Here is a 25,217-nt window from a genome sequence, read left to right as displayed (position 1 = left end):
ATAATGGCATTCACAGCAACCTGGATGGAATTGGAGACCATTATTCTAAGTGAAGTAACTCAGGAATGGAAAACCAAACATCATATGTTCTCACTCATAAGTGGGAGCTAAGCTATGATGACTCAAAGGCATAAGAGTGACACAGTGGACTTTGGGGACTTGGGGGAAAGTGTGAGTGGGGGGGTGAGGGATAAAAGACTACACATTGGGCACAGCGTACACTGTTCGGGTGATGGGTGCACCAAAGTCTTAGAAATCACCACTAAAGAACTTATTCATGTAACCAAACACCACCTGTTCCCCAAAAACCTATGAAATAAAAAACATGTAAAAAAAAGTTTTCTTTTCTAATCATGTTAGGGCAAAATAGGGTACTTAGGATGAGCAGACACCTCTTCTGCAAGTGATGATTCTGGAATCCAGGCATCTTCCATCTACCTTGTGGCTCCACCATCTGTACCACATGGTTTCCAAGGGTACCATTCCCATCTGAACCAGGCCAGAAGGCAAAGGGCATGGAGAATCACACACTGTGGGGCTTTATAAGCAAGGTCCAGCAGTGATGCTTATCATTTCTGTTCATATTCTATTGCCCAGAACTCAGCTTCATTGCTATCCCTAACTGGAAAATACAGTCTAGCTTCCTTCAGGTAAGAGTACATCAACAGTAGAAAGTCATGATACTGTCGGTTGCAGTGGCTCACACCTGTAATCCTAGCATTTTGGGAGGCCAAGGCAGGAGGATTTCTTGAACCCAGGAGTTCAAGACCAGCCTGGGCAACATAGTATAGAAATGAGGTCTACAAAAAAAATTTTTTTTAATGAGGCAGGAGGATCACTTGACCCAGGAGGTTGAGGCTACAATGAGCCGTGATCACAACACTGCACTCCCACCTGGATGACAGAACAAGACCCTGCCTCAAAAAAAGAAAGAAAGAAAGAAACAGAGAAAGAAAGAGAGACAGAGAGGAAGGAAGGAAGGAAGGAAAGGAAGGAAGGAAGGAGAAAAAGAGAGTCATGATAAAGTGCCATATGTTAACTTCCTGTCATTCTTCTTGCTTCCTTTTTCCTCAGTTGGGAGAAAGAATGACCAGTGCTAAGGCTAATGTAGTAGCCCTGTGCAAATCACAGATGTGACTCTGATCTGGATTCCCTTTACTTGGCTCTCCAGTGCTTTTTTTGCTAAGCATTTCTGTTTAGGGAGCACATATTCATGGGACAGTTGTTTTTGAATGCTTTGCCTGAAATTGCTTTTATCTCCAGGCTCCCCATGTGTCAGTTTGAAAGAGAAAGCGCTTAGCATGCAGCCTGGGCATCACATGTGTTCTGAGATGCTGGCACATGGAAGGCTTAGGAGGTTCCAAATCATTGCCTATTGGCCACCCACAGGCTAATGAAGGAAATGTCTTTTCATTTTCTCTGCTTCTCTCGGACTTAGGTGCCTTATCAGCAGCCAGGGAGAGCTGGGAATACGACTCTGGTGCCAGGGACCTCCAGAGCCCGGATGTGCAGAGCCAGTCAGCCCTCCAGAAGCTGCTCGAGTATGGCGGAAGCTCTTTGCATCAGCAGGCTGCTCTCCACAAACTGCTCACACAGTCCCCGCACATTGGCAACTCTGTAGGAGGAAGCTATCTAGAGCTGGCCAACACAGTGAGTACTTTTTGGTTCATGGAATACATATTTCGGCCTGTCTGTATTCCAATACAAATATTTTAATTTTGTGCTCCAGGGGACATATCGGGTATTGTCTTCTTTATTGCGGTAAATATTGTACCATTTCCAGCATTGCCAGTAATGTTTAGTGTTCCAAAGTTGCCAGCACTTAGGGACTTCACTCTCATGGAGACCAGAGTAGACTCCTAAAAGGTGTTTTGATTAAGGCTGTAACTTGCACAGGTTTAATTACTAGAAGATGCACAACAGCTCTTCCATAACTAGACTACTTCTATGGTTCTAGACATTACAAATTAATAGGATATACTTGCTTCTGTTTCCTAATTTGGACTTTACTTATTTGGAAAACAAAAAGGAAAATATTGCATTGAAGGTTTCTTGTTTCTGGTTATACTTTAAGAGTATTTTCTGTTGAAAACTGTGGGACAACTTAGAAGGCCATTATGTGTAATTTACCTTCCTTTTTCCTTCAAGGTGAGTCACTACAAAGCGACCTTTGGGCAAAGAGCTATTGTCTTCTCTTCTAAGTCAGGGCTGCCAAATGAGGCGGGTGGCCGATGGCCTGGCCATTTTGGGTGACATGCAGACAGTACAAATTGAGATTGCTATGCAGCCACTGTGGGAAAGGTCTAAAAGCCTACCTGGCTTTTTGAAACTGAAGTTCAAATGGTAGACTAAGCATCTCAATAACCTTGACTTATGCATATTTACAGTCTGCTTTGATGTAGACCAGTGGTTTTCAAACTCTGTGTTTGAGGCACACTTTCTAATTCTGACACTTTTGGTGGGATGTTTGAAGGAACTAGCAATTGTAAATATGGCAACAATAATTAAAATACAATCATCAGAAAAATCCCAATTAAATGACAGTCTACAAAATACGTAACCAAAACTCCTCAAAACTGTCAAGGTTATCAAAAACAAGGAAAGTCTAATAAAGAGAAACTGTCCAGCTAAGAGAAGCCTAAGAAAATACGACAACTAAATGGAATGCATATCCTCAATGGGATCCTGGATCAGAAAAAAAGGACATTACAGTAAAACACACATGCACGCACACACACACACACACACACACACACACACTAAGGAAGCCTAGATAAAATATGGACTTTAGTTAATAATAGTGTGTCAACATCAGTTTATTATGACTAGTATACCAAAATAATGTAAGATGTTAATAAGTAGGAAAAACTATTTGTGGGGTATATGATTACTCTCTCTCCTGTCTTTGCAAATTTTGTCTAAAACTATTTGTTTTTTTTTTTGAGATGGAGTTTCGCTCTTGTTGCCCAGGCTGGAGTGCAATTGCGCAGTCTTGGCTCACTGCAACCTCCGCCTTCCAGGTTCAAGCAATTCTCCTGTCTCAGCCTCTCAAGTAGCTGGGATTACAGGTACCTGCCACACCTGGCTAATTTTTGTATTTTTTTTTTTTAGTAGAGACAGGGTTTTCACCATGTTGGCCAGGCTGGTCTCGAACTCCTGACCTCAAGTGATCCACCCGCCTTAGCCTAAAACTATTATAAAATAAAAAATTTATTAAAAACATATAAACATGCACAGTCACTGCTAGGGTATGATAATGTCTCATAAAATCTGTAAAAACATTCATAGTTATTGCACTGTTTGTCACTTGGCCACACTTCAAGGACATTCTTGCACAGTTTGAGTAGAACTCTAACTATCCTAATCTTGCCCTCCTATGTGCTCAGGAGATTAGGCGATTATCAGTGAATATGTCATCTTTCTCTGGCATAGGCCTGGACTTAGGCTATGCCTGCTTCAAATAATTTGCAGCAAGTTGAACCCTCCTCTGTACTATATCAGCTCAGCCTTTTCTCAAGACAGACATTGCCATAACAGGATGGGTTATAGCAGAAATCAGTGTTAAACAGAGATCAAAATTTGATGGTACCTTCTCTGGAGGGTTCCAGGTTCATGGCCGACCAGTTTTCTGCAGCAAATCTGCTATTGAAAACTGTGGGAGTTGGCTGTTTCCTATCTCTGTATGACTCTGTGGTTCCCAGCTTCTCCAGTAACCTCCTGGACTGATTTCTGTTCTCCTGTCTCTCCTGATTGGAGGCCAGCTCAGCCCTTGGGGTTCCCACAGCCAGGTTCTCTAAGTTGGCTCTTCAGGGGAGTCAAGGCACAGAGAGCTCTCACATACCCCACAGTCATATACATACCCTCTTTTTACTTTACTGGTTAAGCTTTAGAAATGAGGGAACACTGCCTAACATTTCCTCTGCACACTCACTTAAGGCGATCCCTTGGCAAGAACTGAACCATGAATGCAAATGCAGGCACTGAAGTCCTATGACTATGATTACACTATTTATTTCCTCACCAAATGGAAAAGTAAAACTTTAAAAATACCATTTGAATTCACAGACCCATTTTTAATGCCCTTGGACCCTGTGGTAGAGTACATTTTGGGCCCCAGTTCTTCATCCTGTCCTGTGTCTTCACCATTTGTCATGCAACTCTAGAGTCCTTCTGTCAGATACGTGAGAGTGATACATGATGGTTGTTTTAACCATTGTGTTTGCGGTAGTTTGTTTCATAGCCATAGTGACTCAGGGTCTACTCAGAAGGGTCTGTAGAGCCCGATTTGAGAAATACCCTTCCCAGGTGGCCAAAGAAAGCAAATAGTCTCTTGAAACTGCACATTTGGGCAATCCCTTTATTTATATAATCACATTAAAAGTAATTTATGTCCCTTCTAAGGAAAAATCTTGAACTAATAAAATTAAGTTTTATTATTTTTCTTTTAAATAGCTACTAAGAGCAAAAGGCATTTTATCAGTGTCTAGTTAGGAGACAGAAAGCACACAGTAATTCACACAGGGAAAGTTTAATATAAATGATTATTAACTAGTAGCAGAGGATTACCTACTAAGGGTAAAGAAAACCGTACTGAACACAGGAATAGCACATACGAAGAACAGCCACTACCCCTAAGGCTGTTCCCAAGGAAAGAGTACCAAAGAAGGAACAAATTTGGAAGAGGGCCCTCCCCTCACCCAGGGCTGATTCAGACCCCTTTCAAAGAAAGTCTGCAGCCCACTGAATTGCAGAGAATTTCCCTGAGATGTTGCAGGCCAGGGCTGGCAAGCAGGAAACCAAACTTCTGAACCTTCGTCCAGCCTCCTGGTATACCACCCATTGGGGCATCTGCAAGACTCATCAGGTATCACTGAGGTGTCCTCCGAGGTGCCAGAGGGATTCACTGGGAAGCTGCCTGCTGGAGTGGTGGCAAACCCACTGAAAAGTCCCCCAAATACTGCCACTAAAACTTAATAGGGTGAGTCACTAGATGTCCTATGCTGCTGGCGCCTACCCACCACAAGAGCTAGCAGGGGAGAGCACAGCAGTCAAGCCACGAGAGTCAAGCTGAGTTCCCTTCTTCCTACAGTGTCCCTCCAGCACCCTCTATTGACAAAGGAGAAATGTTTACATGGTCCAGCTCCAAGACCACAAAACAGGACAAAGAAAGCTGGATTTGGAGATGAGAAGCAACAAATGATAACTAGCACAGACATTTTTAGCATTGAGGATTTCCTGAGAGATTCCTACATAAGCTTTTTACCTTTCTAAGCATCTCTTCCTTTTCTTCTACCACCAATCACCAGTCTTCTCCTTCTACCTAAGACAGTGGATACCATGAGGCTTAACATACCGTTCACAATGCAAAGGCAACAAGACAGTGTTGTACACAGATACTTACAGCAGCCATGGTTTTATCGAAGTAGCAAAATGGCCACACATTATACAGAATAAGAGATTTATTATCCTAAGGGCTAGACCTTACACAAATGTGAGAGCTGGTGATGCAATCTATGAAGACTATTGGTTCTGTGTCTAGTGCTGAGCCTGAAGTTACTATAGGTTTGTCAGATCAGCTGTTAAGAGGGAAAGCTAGATGTATAGGAGAGTAGGGACAAACCAGAACTCATGAGGACCAATGGGACCATTGAGGACAAACTGGAACCCTCTTCTGTGTCTTACCATGTCCAACCTTGATGCTGCGGGTGACCTGCAGGAGAAACTGGCACTATCTCCTGCAGTGTGTCTCCTGCACACACACTTGGCCCAGGACTCAGAGAAGCTGAAGGAGGAGATTTAGTGAATTAGAATTACTGCAAGCCTGGTACACCAAGTAGTTAAGCAGCAGATTAGCAATAATGTGTGCAAGTGGACAAGGTGCATAGTGCCTGCTATGGTTTGTTTTCCCCTCCAAAATTCATATGGAAATTTTTTTGCCATTATAACAGTATTAAGAGGTGGGACAATTAAGAGGTGATTAGGCCATGATGGCTCCACCCTCATGGGTGGGATTGGTGCCATTTTAAAAGGACAGGTTCCTCTCTCTCTCTCCCACTCCCTGTCTCTCTCTCTTTCTTTTTCTCTCACCTTCTCCTTGCCCTTGCACTCTTTCACCATGTGATAACACAGTAAGAAGTCACCTGACAGATGCCAGCACCTTAATATTGGGCTTCCCAGCCTCCAGAACTATAAGCCAATAAATTTCTATTCATTATAAATTACCCGGTTTCAGATATTCTGTGATAGCAGCACAAAACAGACTACGACAGTAACTCTGTACCAAGTTTCAGAGCATAAAAAGTATGACTTCTTTACTTCTTCCTTCTGGATTTCACACAGAATGTCTCTCATGGCCATACAGAACCATACAAGAAAGAGAACTCTGGGGAATGTGGTTCCAGCTTAGCTGAATTTAGTACCAAGTCACCACAAAGCAGCAGCAAAACTCAGTGTAATCTAAGCCCTATTCATAAAACTATGGGTAAAGCAATATGAGATATTTTAAGAGTCTGGTAAAGAGGGTATGCAGTGGGAAAGATGTACTGCCTGTTTTCTGATAGATTTTTTCTACAAAGATTTGTATTACCAGGAAATAATGCTAGTATAAATTATAATGTTATGGATTCTGAGTAGTAACATATGTAAGTATTCTAAAACATAAAACGTAACAGAAGTTTCATTTTCTAGATACAGCAGAGATAAATTCCTGAATGAAATAGCAATGTCTAGATAAATTCTGTGAGCTATACTACTTGGTTTTTAAAGTATTAATTATAGGTTTTATTTTTTATTAATAAAAGTATTAATTGATGTACATTAAAATTAATTATACTAGAAGAGAAGCCATGTGGACAACAGAAAGTTGATGAGAAGTAAAAGTAATCATTTGTCTCTGTCTTCCCTCATTTAAAAGGTCTTCACCAACTTTTTAAAATGTATTCTTGAATTGCTTTTAATATAGGGAACTTTTCATTTCTCCTTCTGCAGTCTTAACACACTACAATCATTATGGTACTTGCCAAATTTGGGGTTACCAAACTTTGATCTAGAGGATGTGTGCTAGCTTTGCGGTTAAAGCAAGGCTGATTGTTCTATGAGCACCCTCTTCTGGGCATTGTTCAGAGTCAAAGAACAAAAAATTCTTCAGCATAGAGCATGCTTGTCACCCTTTAGATTTTCAGGGAATTGGGATAGGACAAATAAAATATTGGAATTTTGAGAAAAGGGCTAAGGAATGGCCTAGAATATAGGGTTGATTTTTTTAAAATTCAGAACATTGGCTGGGCACGGTGGCTCACGCCTGTAATGCCAGCACTTTGGGAGGCCGAGACAGGCAGATCACCTAAGGTCAGGAGTTCAAGACCAGCCTGGCCAACATGGTAAAACCACATCTCTACTAAAAATACAAAAATTAGCCGGGTGTGGTGGTGCGTGCCTGTAATCCCAGCTACTCAGGAGGATGAGACCAGAGAATTACTTGAACCCGGGAGGCGGAGGTTGCAGTGAGCTGAGATCACGCCACTGCACTCCAGCCTGGGCGACAGAGCGAGACTGCATCTCAAAAAAAAAAAAAAAAAATCAGAAATCAGAACCTTGAATTGTCACTTCCAAGTGATTGAGACTGATTTTTTAAAAATGTGTATTGTAAATATATATGTAATACAGCCGGGCATGGTGGCTTATGCCTGTAATCCCAGCACTTTGGGAGGCCAAGGTGGGCAGATCGCGTGAACCCGGGAGTCTGACCATCCTGGGCAACATGGTGAAACCATGTCTCTACAAAAAATACAAATATTAGCTGGGCGTGGTGGCACATATCTGTGGTCCCAGCTACTTGGGAGGCTGAAGTGGGAGGATCACTTGAGCTCGGGAGGTGAAAGTTACAGTGAGCCAAGATCACGCCACTGCATTCCAGCCTGGGCAACAGAACTAGACCCTATCCCCCCAAAAAGTGTATATAATATATATATAATATATATAAATATTCTAAAACATAAAACATAACAGAAGTTTCACTTTCTATATACAGCAGAGATAAATTTCTGAATGAAATAGCAATGTCTAGATAGATTCTGTCAGCTATACTACTTGGTTTTTAAAGTATTATTAGCTTTATTTTTATTAATAAAAGTATTAATTGATGTACACTAAAATTAATTATACTATAAAAGAAGCCATGTGCATAACAGAAAGTTGATGAAAAGTAAAAGTAATCATTTGTCTCCTTGTCTTCCCTCAAATAGATATATAAATTTATAATGTATTTATATAGATATATAAATACATGTATATGTGAATACATATATACATATATGTACATATATACATATATACATATATACATATATGTACATATATACATATATACATATATATATAAATATATATGAAGCAAAGACATTTTGTTTTTGTGCATTTAGTTATCTAACATACCAGCTATCTGTGGGGAAGTGCACTGTTTCATGAGTTTTTCTGTAACATTTCAAATGATGAAGCTGTAAACACAGTCAGACTCATTTCTATGCAGATGAAGATGGTAATGTCTGTATTCTGCACCCTGCTGCTCAAGGCTGTCTTTTCCTTTGGATGACTTGGCTTCAACTTTGCCCATTTTAAGACTTAATTTTGTGTTTAATGCTTTTTTGCAAAAGTAATTTACATTTTTAAAGGAGAAAAAAAGTCATGAGTTGTGCAAATAAAATCATGCGAATTAAAAAACTGACATAGCAAGTTTTGCTCCTCTGTGTATCCAACAGTCAAAAACTCCAAGCAGCCTTTTTACTTTAGGCTGGTTTAACACCTGTGAATTGAAAATCGAATTAAAACTGTGTATTATCATGCTCATTTGCTATATGATCAAAATTATTAATATAGTCGTTATTAACTGAAACTTGATACAACATTATTGGTTACTTTGGAGAATACTGCACATCCACACGTTTCATCCAATACAGAAACATCTTTAAAAGGTGTGTGAATAAGAGTTGGTGTAGTAGTGGTGAGAGAGACAGAGGTCTTCTTTTTGGTTTAAACACTTGATCAGCTTCTTGTGTTTCACATTAGTTTTTGGTTTGTTTCCCCCTTTTTTCATATCAACCATAAAATACCGAGGAGTTTTTTTGTTTGTTTTTACACTTTTCAGTTCCCACAGTCCTTATTATTCTCCCTCTTATTGAGATCTGCTACCTTGATGTTTCAGGGTCAAGGGATTTGAAAATTCTTAAGAAGAGTTTTCAGAAATTTTGAAATAAAGCAAAAAGATTACTGGGTGCTCTTTCAAAGTCGTATTAGATCCTCTAAGAATCAGCTGATATTTCAGGAGGTGTAGCTTTGTTTGGCTATTTGCTATTAATTGAAGTCTAGAATCTGTAAAATTTGGATGTTAATTTGCAGAAGATCGGTAAGTTACTGATGACTTTTGTTTGGTAGAGATACAAACTACTTTTGCCCAGCATGGAAGGTAACCCCAAATGTTATATTTTATTGGCCCTAGTAAAACGGCAACCATTTTGTAACTAACTTTGCAGTCCTATGCCAGCATTATTTTTTTCTACTGGATTTATATGTACTAGTTTCTTCTATTCCTTTTTTTTTTTTTTTTTTTGGAGACAGGTTCTCATTCTGTCACCCATGCTGGAATGCACTGGCTTACTGCAGTCTTGACCTCTTGGGCTCAAGCAGTCTTCCCACCTCAGACTCCCAAAGTGCTGGGATTATAGGCGTAAGTCACTGTCCCTGGCCTCTTCTATCCTTCTTTAAATCACCTTTATTATCTTGCCAGTTAACTCAAAGAATTAAGTAAATCTTAGGAAAATACTTATTTATAGCCAGGGATGGTGGCACACACCTCTAGTTCCAACTGCTTGGGCGGCTGAGGTGGGAGGATTGCTTAAGGCCAGAAGTTGGAGGCTGCAGTGCGCTATGATCATGCCTGCACCCTAGCCTGGGCAACATAGCAAGACATTGTCTCAAAAAATAAAGGAAACATCAAAAAAGAAAGTTACTTACAAGTGGCTACATTTGGGGTAGTATTTGGAAATAGAAACTAAAAAAATTCTAAAGAAATGAGATCTTTCAAGGAGATTTCGAAATATTTACTGATCACTTTTTTATAGTCTAAGAGCTGTCTCAAGATGACGTTGTTGTCATCAGGAGTTCTCAAGGTGGTATTGTCATTAAAAATTATGCTGAATGATCTTGTATGTAGAATTCACTTGGAAATACCAGATCATAGTCAGAGGCAGTGGCTCACACCTGTAATCCCACACTTTGGGAGGCCGAGGTGGGCGGATCACCTGAGGTCAGGAGTTCAAGACCGGCCTGGTTAACATGGTGAAACCCCGTCTCTACTAATAATACAAAAATTAGCCGGGTTGTGGTGGCGGGTGCCTGTACTCGAAGCTACTCGGGAAGCTGAGGCAAGGAGAATCGCTTGAACCCAGGAGGCAGAGGTTGCAGTGAGCCAAGATGGCACCACTGTACTCCAGCCTGGGCAATAGAGTGAAACTCCATCTCAAAAACAAAACAAAACAAAACAAAACAAAACAAAACAAACAAAAAAGCAGATCATGAAAAAAATAATAATTTCTACCTACAGAGAGAAGGATCCTTGAAAAACTTCAGTCTAACCTTTTTATTTTAAAAACAGGGATATGGAGGCCCAGATCAAAATATCCACCTAAGGACACACAAAAGTAGTAGAACCAAGACTGTAGGGTAGATTTCCTGACATCCGCTACTAACACTACTATACCCCTGTCCTGGTCTAGAGGATGTCCCTGGTTATTGGCAAGAGAAGGAACAGCTGCTGGGAGGAAGAGCTACTTCAGATCTTTGCTAGTGGACGCTGAGTCACTCTTCTGCTCTGCTCAGCGGTACTGGCTTATTTTTCTGATGTCTTCTAATCCTCTTAGCAGAGTGAATGTTCAGCCAGAACACCACAGTACAGATCGTTGAAATATTGACATGCTTTTGTCCCAGACCCCCTACTCTCTTGGCTACCTAGTCCCTCTGCCAGGAACCCAGAACCTCTCCACAGTTCAGCATCTAAGGGGTTAATGCTGGCCCTGCAAAGGGAAGAGGCAGAATTGCTGCCAGCTGGCATCTTCCGGGCATCTGTTCTGGTTAGCTAGTGCGTATGCCACACTAGTTGTGAAATACTTTTAATATTTCTTCTGCCCTTTGGCAATCTGTTGGACTGAAACCTTGTTCAGGTCCATGTGTAGGACCTGAAGAAAGTGTTGGCACCAACAGATAGTGAGGTGGTAGGAAGCCGTCATATCACTCTCCTAATAATTGACAGTATTTTTTAAAATGATTCTATTGGATAGTTCAACAGAGGTTCATGTTTTATTCTGTTTCCTACTATCTTTCAGGTAAAGATCTCTGATAAAGGGATTTAGAAAAATTTCAAGTACACTAGAGGGCAGTGGTCCCATATCTAGACACCTGGCAATTACCACTTCCTTTGCATTTCTTTGCCTTTCCTTTTGTGTAGGGGAGGGGAAGAGGGGTTTTCGTCACAGAATACAAATGCCATTTATGTCTGAAGTATTTTATAAAAACAGAGTAGCTGCTTGGCAGCACCATGTCTATCATTTCTTGTAGTTTCTTTTCCATCCTTCTTCCAATGACTTATCTCAGCATTAACATCTTAATGACTTTTTGCGTTTTTGAAGAAAAGGCAAAGGAGAGATAGGAAACATACTTCCTACTTTGGGGTAGTAAGGTTTTCTATCTTTGCATCTTTGTATTTGAAAATAAAGTCATGAATTAAGAATGAGGGAGAAAAAAGGTACAGGAATGTATTCTTGTATTTTGTATGTGCAGAGGTATTAAAAGAATAAGTTTAGACAAATTAAATTTCACAGAGTTTAACTGAGCAAAGAATGATTCAGGAATCACTCAGCTCTCAGAACCAGAAGCGGTTCAGAGAGCTCTGCTCCATTACATGGGCGGCAGCATTTATGGACAGGACAAAAGTCAGGTACAGAAACTTGATTGATTACAGCTTGGCATTTGCCTTATTTGAATATGGTCTGATCAGCTGGCTGCCTGTGATTGACTGAGACTCAGCTATTTGTTACAAAACTATACTCCTAAGTTAGGCTTTCAGTTAGTTTATGTGCTAAGTTAGACTGCAATTAATTACATGAGGACTCAACTGTCCTTATGTAATTCAGGCCAAATTTAGTTTGACAGAGGCAAAAGTCACTTAGATGACTGCACTGCTGCCCCCTTCTTCATGATCACCAAGGACAGTTATGTTTTAGATCACTCAGTTTTCCTCTCCTGCCCCTCTTCTAAGTAGAAGGGAGCCCTGCTTTCTGGAGGAGAGGCTAAGCTGATCTATATACACTAAAGGGATGGACTGGAGGTGAGTGGATGGGGTAGGGAGGAGAGAAGTTCCATTGCAGTTGGATAGTATAATGGATTTCAAGAGGAGAAAGCAAAGGGACATTAAAAAGTATGCCAGTAGATTATTTGATGAAGTATGAGACCTTAAATAAAGAATTGTATCTATTATTAATTACTTTTGGTTGTTGGACTGTTTCTTTGAAAGAGATAATCCTCTGAAACTAGTTTGTATGGCTTTCTGGATTTATAAAAGTTATGTATAGAATGAACTTGCAGACATTAGCATTTTCATTTGTGAGATCTACAGCAGTTGTGTTTATATATGTGTGTGTATACGTATATATGCATGTGTGTATACATATATGTATATATGTATGTGTGTATATATGTATGTGTGGATATATGTTTCTGTGTGTGTGTGTGTGTGTATATATATAGTTTATTCACCATCTTTACTCTTAGGCCCAGGTGGGAGATAAGATGCTCTTCTTCCAATTCACCCAACTAGAGGCCTGGGTGGGAGGAAGAACACCTGGACCCTCATAGCAACATGTCCTCTGCAACAAAGGGACAGGAACTCCCTCTGCATTTCTTTTGGTGTTGCTAATATTCATTGGGGATTTACCGTACACTACATATTGTGTCACTTGTTTTGCATAGATTATCTTGCTTAATCCTCACAACTTTATGCTGCATATATAGGTATGATCCCCATTTACCCGTGAGAAATTTGAGGATTACAGAGGTTGCCTGGCATGAAAAAGTGAGCATGTAGCAGGCTGAGATGTGAACCCAGGTTTGTTTGACTCCACAGCTTGAGTTTGTAGCTACTCATTTATGTGCCCCCAAGGGAAGGAGGGATGCTGCAGGCAGTGTCATTGGGAAATCATTTGTTCTTCGGACCCATTCGACAGGGTGCAGTGCTGTCTCACACATCTGAACTGGACATGGGTTCCTGGTCTTATTCCTCTATTGGAACAGAAATGATGATCCCCAGACTGTTCTGGGGATAGCCTGGGACATAAACACACATGTACACACACTGACTGGATTTTCACTTCTCTGATTTTGTATGAGATATTGTCACTGGAGAGTAATTAAAACCCCTGGTGAATTTATGTTGGGGCCTCCTGACACGATTGTGCAGTTATTTATCCTTAGACAACAAGGAGGATTAGCATTAAATGCTGAGAGAAATGCATCTGCCACGTTGATGCAGTTAGAGGCATCTATCAGAGATGCATTTGAAACCCAGAGACTTCATCCTAATTGCCGAGAATGCTGGAGGTTGTTTTCAGCTAGACTTAAAAGTGAAGAGGAAAACCATTAGTAGTAAGAGAGGTGGATCCCACATTAACTTCTCAGTAGATTCTTCTGGGGCAGAGGGATAATCTCTTCCCTAGCCCTGTCCCACTTGTATCTTTTAGGTAATAGTCTCTGTCATGGATCAGGGCAAAACCTTTCCCTAGAGACAGAAGCAGGCAGAAGGAATTAATGTGTTCCTACGATTATTCCTATGAATAACTGGTCACGTTTGCTAAGTGTTTAGTACATGTAGGATATCAGTAGAAGCGCTTTGCCAGCATCATCTCATTTAATTCTCAGATGGCCAGTCCCTCTTCAAACCTAACCCTCTCCACCTCTTCCTTTCTAATCTAACACTTACTATGTCATTTATTTCTCTCAGGGGAGAGGTAAGTCGTATTTATAAGACTGGCATTTACATTAGCTCAAGAAGTGAATGTTGCCAGGTACAAAGGCAGAAAAGGATTAGTAGATCTGTGAATTATGGTGTCAATTATACTTGTATTGAGAAGAATAATCATTTGTTAGTTGTTACATCTTATTTCATGTTTATATGTGTCAGATTTATTTTTCATACTGAGGAATAATACTATTAGGTATTCCTAATGTTTTTCCTAAATATTCCTCATATTTTCCACACTGAGGTATAATAATGTTAGGTTGGTGCAAAAGTAATTGTGCTTTTTGCCATTACTTTTAATGGCAAAAACTACGATTGCTTTTGCACCAACCTAATAATTATTACTTAAAAAGCCCAAATGTCAGCTGCTCTTTGTCCTTCAGTTTTTGTTTCTGTTAATTCCAGCTCTGTTTTCTCCTCATTGCAACCCAGACTTGGAACTTAGTGATGAATCTATGATCACAAAAGAATTGGTAGGCAATATCTTAGTAAGGAAAGAGTACATAGAGGATGAGATTTTTATATATATATATATATATATATATTTTTTTTTTTTTTTTTGAGACTGAGTCTTACTCTGTCACCCAGGCTGGAGTACAGTAGCACGACCTCGGCTCACTGCAACCTCTGCCTCCTGGGTTCAAGCGATTCTTCTGCCTCAGCCTCCCGAGTAGCTGGGACTACAGGCTCACACCACCACACCCGGCAAATTTTTTATTTTTAGTAGAGACAGTGTTTCACCATGTTGGTCAGTCTGCTCTCGAACTCCTGACCTCAGGTGATCTGCCTGCCTCGGCCTCCCGAAGTGCTGGGATTACAGACGTGAGCCACTGCGCCCAGCTGAGATTTATGTTAAATGTAAATCCCACCCCCCAACACACACATACCTATCTTTTCAAGCAAACAGCTTAGGAGTTTCTATTTGATACTTCTGTCCTCTAGAGATCCTCCTTTATCCCAGATCTGAAGCTTTTCTCCGTACCTTCACACCCCTCTCCCAAGCAATGCCGCTGCTTACTTACTCTTGTCTGCTTCCTTCTTTTTTGTTGGAGGGATGCAAATTTCTCTCCTAATATTATATGTTGAAATTTAGGAACCATTTTTGTTGCCAAACATGACATTAGCATCTTATGCTTTTACCATATGTGAATTATAAAAGCATTCCTTGCAAGGAAATGCTGCACTCTCTTTAAGAGATATTTTAGGGGAATAAAATTTTTATTTCATTATAGAAAAAGACCTTATTGACAGAATCTGAAATAAGGGATCATGTACAGAATCTTGATTCTAAATAGTTGAATATAATCTACCTTAATTCAGCCATTTTATGTTTAACATAATACTGGAATATATTCATTACCATAGAAGATTATGAAGATAACACAGAGAGTGTTAAGAATGACTGAATCCATATAGTGTAGTGAGAACTATTGAAAATTCATTATAAACTTCATATAGCACTTGCTATGGGTTGAATATGTCCCCTCCAAAATTCGCATTGAAACTTAACCCCCATCGTGGTGCTAATTAAGAGGTAGGGCCTTTTGGTAAGTGATAAAGTAATGAGGATTCCTTATAAATGAGCTAAAGGGAACTAGCTTAGGCCTTTTGGCCTTCCATCTCTTCTGCTATATGAAGACACAGCATTTGGCCTCTCCAGAGTATACAGCAAGAGGGCACCATCTGGAAGATCTTGGCACCTTGATCTTGGACTTCCCAGCCTCCAGAACTGTGAGAGTAAAATTCTGTTCTTTATAAATTATCCAGTCTCAGGTATTTTGTTATAGTAGCACAAGTGGACTAAGACAGCACCCAAATGATACATAAATAGTATGTAATGATTTATGTTATGTGTCCTAACTTTTCTTTTGCTGTGGAACCGGAAATAACCTTTAACCAGGTAGCCTTGGTTCTGTCTTGGTTCTTCTGTGTATCCCATATTATTCTTGTGTTGTCTTGATTCATACTTAAATGTGAAAAATTCAGACCATATCACATTCAAACACATTTTTCATACCTGTGCATATTAATGGCTTTAATCTAGACAAAACATCTAATTTATAATCAAAGATATAAATAAAACCCTAATTCGTGTGTTTGCTTAATGCCTCTCTGCCCCTTACTCCACACTCACTGGCATCTCAGATTACTTTTTACAGTATGGTCCAGATTCCCAGCTTTTGGTTTTCCAGAGTTCAGATACATTAAGATCATGTGTCTGTTAAACCTTGTTGGCTAAAAATGTTTCCAGTGAATTCAGAAAGGTAACTGTTGTATTAGAGGAGTAAAACCATGTCAGTGTTGGCTGTGGATCAAGGGTTTAAAATTTCTGTGAAATTCAACTGTAAAGTGACTCTTTTTAGAAGGAAAATATAGGTTTATGTTCTTGAAAGTCTGCTTTCAAATGGATTAAACCTTGGTTGGAATGGCACCATATGCTACAATACTTTCCATTTAGCAAATGAGTTTCCGTTGTTCAATAAAGTAGTCAAGATTACCACCGAGACTGAAGTTTCTCTGAGCCCACAGCACTTGTGATTCTGCGTGATTGCCTAACAGCAGCAAAAGACTTTGCAGGGAAGTCTAGGAAGCCATATGAAAGTAAGAGTGGCTACTGTCCATGAGAAGAATTTCTATTTCAAAGTTAGATTTAAGTCAGTAAAAAAAAAAAAAAAAAAGTGCTGCGAGAAGCCCGAGTAATGAAAACAATCAGAATTTAGTACACTTCTCCAGATGGGTTTTGTTTTGAGGTTGAAAATTCAGTTTGAGCACTCTTATTGTGTGAATCATTAACATTTAGTTTGTCTTTTCAAGCGCTGCCCCTATAATATCTTTCAAAGGGTTAGGATTGGTTAGAGTTTGTGGTAAGAAGGAAACACTGGGAATTCTTTCCCAATGTTATCACACAACACCTTTCCTTCCCACCCCTCTAACTTATCTCATTGTGAGTTATAAAAATGGTTCCAGGGCTGGAAGCAGTGGCTCATGCCTGTAATATAGACACTTTGAGAGGCCAAGGCAGGAGGATCGCTTGAGCCCAGGAGTTTGAGACCAGCCTGGGCAACATAGTGAGACCCTGCCTTTACTGAGATTTTTTTTTTTTTTAATTAGCTGGGCATGGTGACATGTGCCTGTAGTCCCAGCTACTTGGGAGGCTAGGGTGGGAGGATCCCTTAAGCCCAAGAGTTTGAGGCTGCAGTGAGCTATGACTGCACCACCGCACTCTAGCCTGGGTGACAGAGGGGGACCCTGTCTCCAAAAAAAAAAAAAAGTTCCAAAACTTCCTACAAAGTGAACAGTCTTCAACTTTTATTTTCCTTTTCTAATGAGGTAAAAAGGTAGGCTGAAATTAAGGAAATGAATATTTGTAGAAAATGTCAGCTCAGAGTAACAGCTGCAGGCTTGGATAGATTGCCAGTGCTACCTTTAGATTCTCAGAAAGAAATAGAGGTAGTGTTATTCATGCCATCTATTTTCTTCTTTATATTTTCTGTGTCTTTCAAATTGCCTAACATCAGAATTTATGGTTTTTATAATAGAGAAGGAAAAGTCTTTAAAATCTTAGGTTTAGCCAGTATATTTTACATATGGGCATAGGGATACTGGAAGGATACTCACCAACATGAAAACAATGTTTATCTTGTGTAATTTGGGTGATTGGTAGTTTCTTCTCTTTTGCACATTTACATTTCTTAATTTTTTGCAATGAATATTATGTGTGTAATAAACAAGGATTTTTCTACAGTGAATATTATCTGCATAATTAAAAATTATATATTTTTAAAAATCATGCCCACACCAAAAGTAAATATTTGTACTATGCATTTGTGTTTGTTATTCATCAACATTTTGATGTTGTTCTACTTGCCTAGCAAGTAGAAACTCCTTCCTAAATTTGGAATTGGATTTGGTGAGGTTCAGAGGCTGCCTCAGAAAGGATTCTGGGGTTCTATAGAAACCAGCAAAATCCTCATTGCTCTCTCCTGTCCATTTGTTTCCTCCCTTGCAACACCGCAGAGGCCATACCAGGCCTGAGTTTGGAATAATAGCAAGAGTAATACTAGTAACAATTAGATATTTATGTAACTCCTAATACTTTCAAATCTTTCCTGGTCATTCTTCTCTGAGCCTCTAAATAACTGAAAAGTAGATAGTAAGCCAGGCATTAGTGGTCCTTTCCACACTACAGCCCAAGTGAGATTATTTATTAGAGACATTGTCTCGATATGGTGCCCAGGATGGAGTGCACTGGCTATTCAGAGGTATGATCATAGTGCAGTACAACCTAGAACTCCTGGGCTTGAGTGATCCTCCTGCTTCAGCCTCCTGAGTAGCTGAGACTGCAGTTGTGCATTACTGCTCCAGGCCCACGTGAGATTTTTGAAACAGAGAGAATTGCATTAGTCTTCTAAAGATTCATGAAAGGATTCCCAATGTGTTAAGAATATAATTTAAACTTTTCACAAGAAGTCATACCTGATATGGCTAAGACCGCCTCTGTGACCTCATCTTTCCCATTTCCCTGCAGGAATTTGCTCTGGCCACACTGTCCCATATACAACTCCGGATCTTCCCTCTGCCATTCAGCTTTCTTGTTTGGGAATGCTGTTCTTCCTACCACCACTGCCACCACCTTCCACCCCAGAGCTGGCTCCATTTTATCCATTCTCAGCTTAAATGTCTTTTTCTCAAAGAAGCCTTTCCTGACCACCTGTTTAAGTAGGTGTGTTCTCACCTTCTCACCCACCTCTCTTCTGTATTAGTTACCTATTACAGCACAGCAAATTACCCCAAACCTTAGTGGCTTTAAACAATAAACATTTATTGTCTCACCTAGTTTCTGTGGATCAGGAATCCAGGAGTGGCTTGGCTGGGTGGTTCTGGCTCAAGGTCTCTCATGAGGTGGCAGTCAAGTCATCAGCCAGGGCTGCAGTCATCTGAAGGCCTGACCAAGGCTGGAGAATCTGCCTCCAAAGTGGCCTATTGAAACACCAGGCAAGTTAGTGCTTGGTTAGTTCCTCATGATGTGGGCCTCTCCATGGGGCTGCATGCATACCGTCATGACAGGGCAGCTGGCTTCCCTCAGAGCAAAAGAGCCAAGAGAGCAAGGCAGAGCTACAATGTCTTTTATGACCTAGCCTCAGAAGTCACGCACTGTCATTTATGCAGTATCCTATTGGTTACACAGGTCAGTCCTATTTAGCTTGGAAGAGGTCTGTACAAGGAAATGAATACTGGGAGATGGGGATCATTGTAGGCTATCTTGGAGGCTGGTTCTTCATCTTGATCACTTAGTTTTCTAACTATTACCAATTCATTGCTTACTTGTTTCTTGTTTGGCTTCCCTCATTCATTAACTCGCTATCCTCTGTACCCAGCCCAGTGCCTAATATATAGTTGATGCTCAGTAAATATTTATGGAATAAGTAGGAAACTCTTATCTTTTGATAGCTGATTCTTTAAAACAGGAGGTAGAAATAGGTATAAAATCAACATTACTGGTTGATGTTGACTTTACCCAAGAAAGTTTAATTGAATAATTGGATGTTTGTAGGGGGAGTTGATTTTCTCTTTATTTAATGAAACACTTGCATTTATTTCAGTCAAGAAATTGTAATGTGTAATTTTTGTTTTCTCATAATTGATTTCTTTTTTAAAGTAAAACTTCATAACAGATATGTCTTTTCTTCTTTTTCTGTATGATTTTATACAATTATGTTTCAATATATTCATGAAAAGAAGTTTTCATGCAGAAATAAAATAAAATTATAGTACAGCCATATTAGATAATCAGTAAGTAGGAAAAGTGTGCAGTCAAACTGCAATGGTTACATATTTACTTATAGACTTTCCCCACCAGATGGTAAAGTCAAGGAAGCCACAGGTGTGTATTCTCTATGTCCTTGGTAGTAAGTGTGGTCCACAAATCAGTAGCATCCACACCACCTTGGAGCTTGTTAGAAATACAAATCATGGGCCAGGTGCGGTGGCTCATGCCTGTAATCCCAGCACTTTGGGAGCCCGAGGCAGGTGGATCACCTGAGGTCAGGAGTTTGAGACCAGCCTGACCAATAAGGTGAAACTCCGTCTCTAGTAAAAATAGAAAAACTAGCCAGGCATGGTGGTGTGCACCTGTAATCCTAGCTACTTGGGAGGCTGAGGCAGGAGAATTGCTTGAACCCGGGAGGTGGAGGTTGCAGTGAGCCAAGATGGCACCATTGCACTCCAGCCTGGGCAACACAGCGAGACTTCATCTCAAAAATAAAAAATAAAAATAAAGAAATACAAATCATGGGCATCACCCCGGACCTAGTGAATCAAAATCTGCATTTTAACCAGCTCTCTGGGATTTGTATTCACTCTAAAGTTTGAGAAACATTGCTCTTTGGTGCTTAACCCAGGCTTTGCATTTGAAGAAGGCTTGTGAACTGGAGAAATAGGGAGCATTTGCTTTTATGCAGTCAAGTTCAGGAATAAAAGACAGCATCTTCTTAGAACTGAGGTGTTTCTAATTGAGAAGCTATCTCTCAATTCTCTAATTGAGAAGACTTTAAGTTTTAACTACAGAACATCACCATCCCCCTTGGGAGTTTCCTAATGTGGGCTCCGCACTTGCCTGGTTTATGCATTTCCTCTCAGATCCAGAAGGCCGAGCTCTGACTTAGATTTTACCTCCTTCCTGATCATTTTCCTCCCTCAAATTAGCAATCAGCAGAGAACCAGTTGCTTCAGGTTCCAGAAACCAAGATCTAAAAATTGGGGTCAGATGTATTAAAATGGTATAACCTGGAGAATAATGCTTTTCCTTATTAAAAAAAAAGTTTTCCTATTTATTTTACAAAGAAAACTTGGTTTTTAGACTCAGCTATAGAAAAGATATATTTTGGTTTTATTTCTAGACTTCAAATTAAAAACAGAAATTCTATATTTTCAGATTTCAGTAGAAATAGAAATTGCTTATTATCCTTGTTTCTGTTTTCATTCCTTTATATTTAGCATTTTCAGTTGCTCTGAGGATATTTCACTAAAACAGCAAAATGATTACTGAACCACAAGTGTGTAGTGGAATATTGTTTCATGCCTATGCTTTTCCTTTTACATAAAAATGTACCTTTAGAAAATTAGAACAAACAATTGTGTCAACTAAGAAAGTGTAGGCTATGCTATTGGAAATATTTGAGAAAGTATCATGAGTGTTACATTGGTACTCTGCTAGAGGAAGGTGAAACAATTGGTATTCACATCAACTCTCTCTTCACATTTCCAAATTCTGGCCACATTATATTGTATTTAAGAGCAAGATCTCACCTATATACTAATTTACCCATCATGGTTTTCATTTAGCAGTGTTTTTGTGCCAGTCACTGTGCCAGGCCTTAGGATTGCAAAAAGGAATGTTTAATATGTGAGGATATCACCTTTTTTGGAAGCAATAGTTTGGCCAAGGAACTCTGCTAATAATTAAACCAGTTGCTGGTTCCTGAAAATTTTAAGAGATAAGTAGTATGCTTTCCTAATTCTAAAATAAACATGTATTTCCTCAGAAGTCTAAATATTTGGAACATGTAGAGGGCCTGTAGGTTATCACCCTGCTTTGCCAGTTAATACTGTGTTCCTCCCAAGATGACATTTAAACAGCCTTTTTTTTTTTTTTGCAATGAGTCTGGTGCATTTTCTTAAACAGTCTTGTGTACAATGTTATCACCATTTGAAAATCTGTTTCCTGACATGAATCTGAATTTGCATTTCTTTCAGTTTCTATATATTTGCCACTTAGGATCCCTTACCCTCTCTGCTACTGAAATTCAGTTTTTTAAAAACAAACAACTAATTGTGTGTGTGTGTGTGTACTACATAGTAGGCTTGAATGCATGAATGTGGGTTTTTTCTGGGCAGACAGAGTACATGCTATAAAAAAAGCCAGGATACTGGTTGAATTTTTGCAAAAGTTTATATACGCTAATAAGCATACTAGTGAGTCAAATTATAGAAGATTAGGAAATAAAATATCTTTGAAATAAGAATGCACAAATATCTTTTGATCATTCTGTTTGACACATGGAGTTGGGTTTTAGTATTTTATGGTGATGATCTTGGTACTGTAATAGCCATGCTGTTGTTCTGTGTTTTTAAATAGAAGTAAGGAGAAGCCCAGGATAAAATTATGCTAAGAAATAACTTTGGGGCCTCATATGGCCATTGGGGTTTGCCCAGGAGTAGGCAAGGCACTAAGAACTTCCAGCCGGTCTTCTCCAAGGCAAAGTTTTGCAAGAGGGAGAGGCCTGCTGTGGCTTGTACAATGATATCCCATAGTTTATCCAGGAAGCCTGGTAAACAATATCCAGTAGTTCCTAGAGCCAACATGTTTGAATGCTGTTAGACATCAACATTGTGTAAGATTTTTAGCTCTATGCTTAATTTTGAGTTTGATCTCATATTTGTTATATATAAAATTTAATTGAGCCATGCATGGAAACAGGCATCTAGTTTCCTTCAAGTTGAATTTTGGTTTGAAAAAAATGATTAGATCCAATCACTCCCTTCCATCTTCTCTTGGTCCAGCTCACAGAAAATGCTCAGCCAATGGGAACATGCTTTCCCAAAACAAGGCCAGCATGCCACAGGTGGAAGACACAGTGAATACAGGTGGCACACCACATGGCATCAAATAGGACGGTATCATACGACAAGAATAGAATTCCCTTTATAGTTCTCTTCCAGTCCTTATGTTTACATCAAGAGAAAAGCCTCATTTGGGTGCAAGAAGTTCACTAATACCTCTCTGCTTCTCGGAGCTCTCTTTACAAGGAAAAGGCCGGCCCCAGGATCAGAGCTTTGGTAAGCAACAGTATTTAGCTAGACTAAATTTACTTTTACTTTTACAGTTGCCTTCTGCTTATGCCACTTACAGTTATTTTCCATTAATAATAGTATTAGAAGGCTTGGCACAGAGGTTCACGCCTATAGTTTCAGCACTTTGTGTGGCTGAGGTGGGTGAATTGCTTGAGCCCAGGATTTTGAGACCAGCCTGGCAACATGGCAAAACTCCGTCTCTATAAAATGTATAAGAAATTATCCAGATGTGGTGGCGTGTGTCTTGTAGTTCCAGCTACTCAGAAGGCTGAGGTAGGAGGATCACTTGAGCCCAGGAGGTGGAGGTTGCGGTAAGCTGAGATCACACCACTGCACTCCAGCCTGGGCAACAGAACGAGACCCTGTTTCAAAAAAATAATTAAAATAAAATAGCATTATAAAATTTTCATTTTTTTTAACTTTTATTTTAAGTTCCGGGGCACACGTGGAGGTTTGTTACATAGGCAAACTTGTGTCATGGCACTTAGTTGTACAGATTATTTCATCAGGTATTAAGCCTAGTACTCATTAGTTGTTTTTCCTGATCCTCTCCCTCCTCCCACCCTCCACCCTCCCATAGGCCCCAGTGTGTGTTGTTCCCCTCTATGTATTCATATGTTCTCTTCACTTAGCTCCCACTTATAAGTAAGAACGTGCAGTATTTGTTTTTCTGTTCCTGCGTTAGTTTGCTAAGGGTAATGGCCTCCAGCTCCAACCATGACCCTGCAAAGGACATGATCTCATTCTTTTTTATGGCTACATAGTATTCCATGGTGTATATGTACCATTTTAAATAAACATTTTGAAGTATAAATCCATCAATTTAGAGAATCATGTTAAGTAGATTAAAGCCCAGATGGTACATAGTCTGGCAAAAGTTGTAAAGGTGATATATGAAAGACTGCCTTGGTTAGCTCTTATGTAGGCTTTGGAGTTAGTTAGACTTGGAATTTGCATCTCTGTTTGGGCACTTACTAGCTTTGTGACTTTGGGGAAATTGTTTCATCTCTCTGAGCTTTAGTTGTCTTCATCTCAAAATGGCAATAACAGTGATGTCATGTTTGTAAAGTACAGTGCTTTAAAAAATGAATGTACTCAAACTGTAGCTCCTTCCCAGCTAACTAAACTCTTCAAGACTTAGTTATATCTAATCTACACCACAAAACTCAATCCATCTCCCTACAGTGCAATATCAATAATTGGAAATCCTCTGACCTCCACCTCTTCATAATTGATTTGCTTCCTTTTTTCCTTCTTATATGATTCATAAAGCATTTAGGTCTCCCTCTGCATCTTGTGATATTTAAACTATGTGAAATCTTAAATCTGTAAGACTGTAATTATGACGGCTGTAATTATATCCTGATCACATTTTTCCTTTTGGTATTCACAAAATGGTCTGGAATTTCTGGGCCATCTGGGTGTTCTGAAGTAGCCAACTTAGTAGTATACCTTTTTCCATTTGCATCTTCATTAGCCCATCCACACTGGCATTGTTGAAGACATGTGGATTGCATTTACAATTTACATGGCCATATGCTACAATGCCATTTTTAAATTCTATTTGTGGAACGAAGGTTTTATGGAAAACATTTTGCTCCAGAATTGTGAATGTGCTTAGGAATATCCGTGTCATACATCATGACAGCTCTTTCCCTGTCATCACATGTACTCACCTCCTTGTTTGAAGTACCTTCTTTAGCACCTGGCCATAAACATCCCTTTATGATACTATCAGTCATGAAACAACTGCTGGTACACCTGTATGAATTTTAGTGATGACCCATTTGATTAAATAGGCATGGCTATTATAGTGTCATTTACTCAAATAAATCTACCAGTGTCCATTGTAATGTAATGCAATAAACTCACTTTTCTAGCAAACTCAGAAATTGCAAGCCAAGCCCCATGTGGACCCAAGGGTCTGTTCATTTCACATATGGCCAATTCCCTGAAAGGAGATGTTTGAATATAGTTTTTTTTTAAGTGGGTTAGCGAACAGAAAATTTAATTCATATGCTAAAGTGTGTCAGGCAGCTGAGTTCCAGCATTCAGTTCATCATTATTTTGAACTGTGGGTTTAATCAAGTTCCTTCACTTAATCTGAATGTTTGTGTTCAAAACCTGGTATCCCGCTTTAAGGAAAACCCTCACCTTTTATTTCTTTTCGGTAGTCCCCAGTTTTGTGAAATCTGATGAAGACAGCCAGTGAAGTGAATCTAATTTGGGTGGTTGAATAACTAAAAGGAATCAGGAAGCCTGCATAGTGTTGCTTTCATTAAAATAGCTTTGTCCAAGTAGA

General features: G+C 39.6%; 1 protein-coding gene and 1 long non-coding RNA gene across 2 annotated transcripts in view; one reads left to right on the top strand and one right to left on the bottom strand.

The window, feature by feature from the left end:
* The window catches only part of MCC (MCC regulator of Wnt signaling pathway), a 466,348-nt gene that overhangs the window by 146,285 nt on the left and 294,846 nt on the right, over positions 1–25,217 (top strand). The window contains exon 3 of the mRNA NM_001085377.2: positions 1,439–1,650. Coding sequence (NP_001078846.2) covers positions 1,439–1,650 — 212 coding nt within the window. The remainder of the gene's footprint in view (positions 1–1,438; positions 1,651–25,217) is intronic.
* LOC124901045 (uncharacterized) overlaps positions 2,404–25,217 on the bottom strand; it is a 44,906-nt gene continuing 22,092 nt past the window's right edge. The window contains exons 2-3 of the long non-coding RNA XR_007058904.1: positions 18,896–19,042; positions 2,404–5,782 (exon numbers count right to left, since the gene is read on the bottom strand). This is a non-coding gene — a long non-coding RNA (uncharacterized LOC124901045). The remainder of the gene's footprint in view (positions 5,783–18,895; positions 19,043–25,217) is intronic.

The sequence above is a fragment of the Homo sapiens genome, chromosome 5, assembly GCF_000001405.40.
Source record: "Homo sapiens chromosome 5, GRCh38.p14 Primary Assembly".
Lineage (NCBI taxonomy): Eukaryota > Metazoa > Chordata > Mammalia > Primates > Hominidae > Homo > Homo sapiens.
Note: the sequence above shows the minus strand (reverse complement) of the source record. Positions and strands in the feature narration are given on the sequence as shown.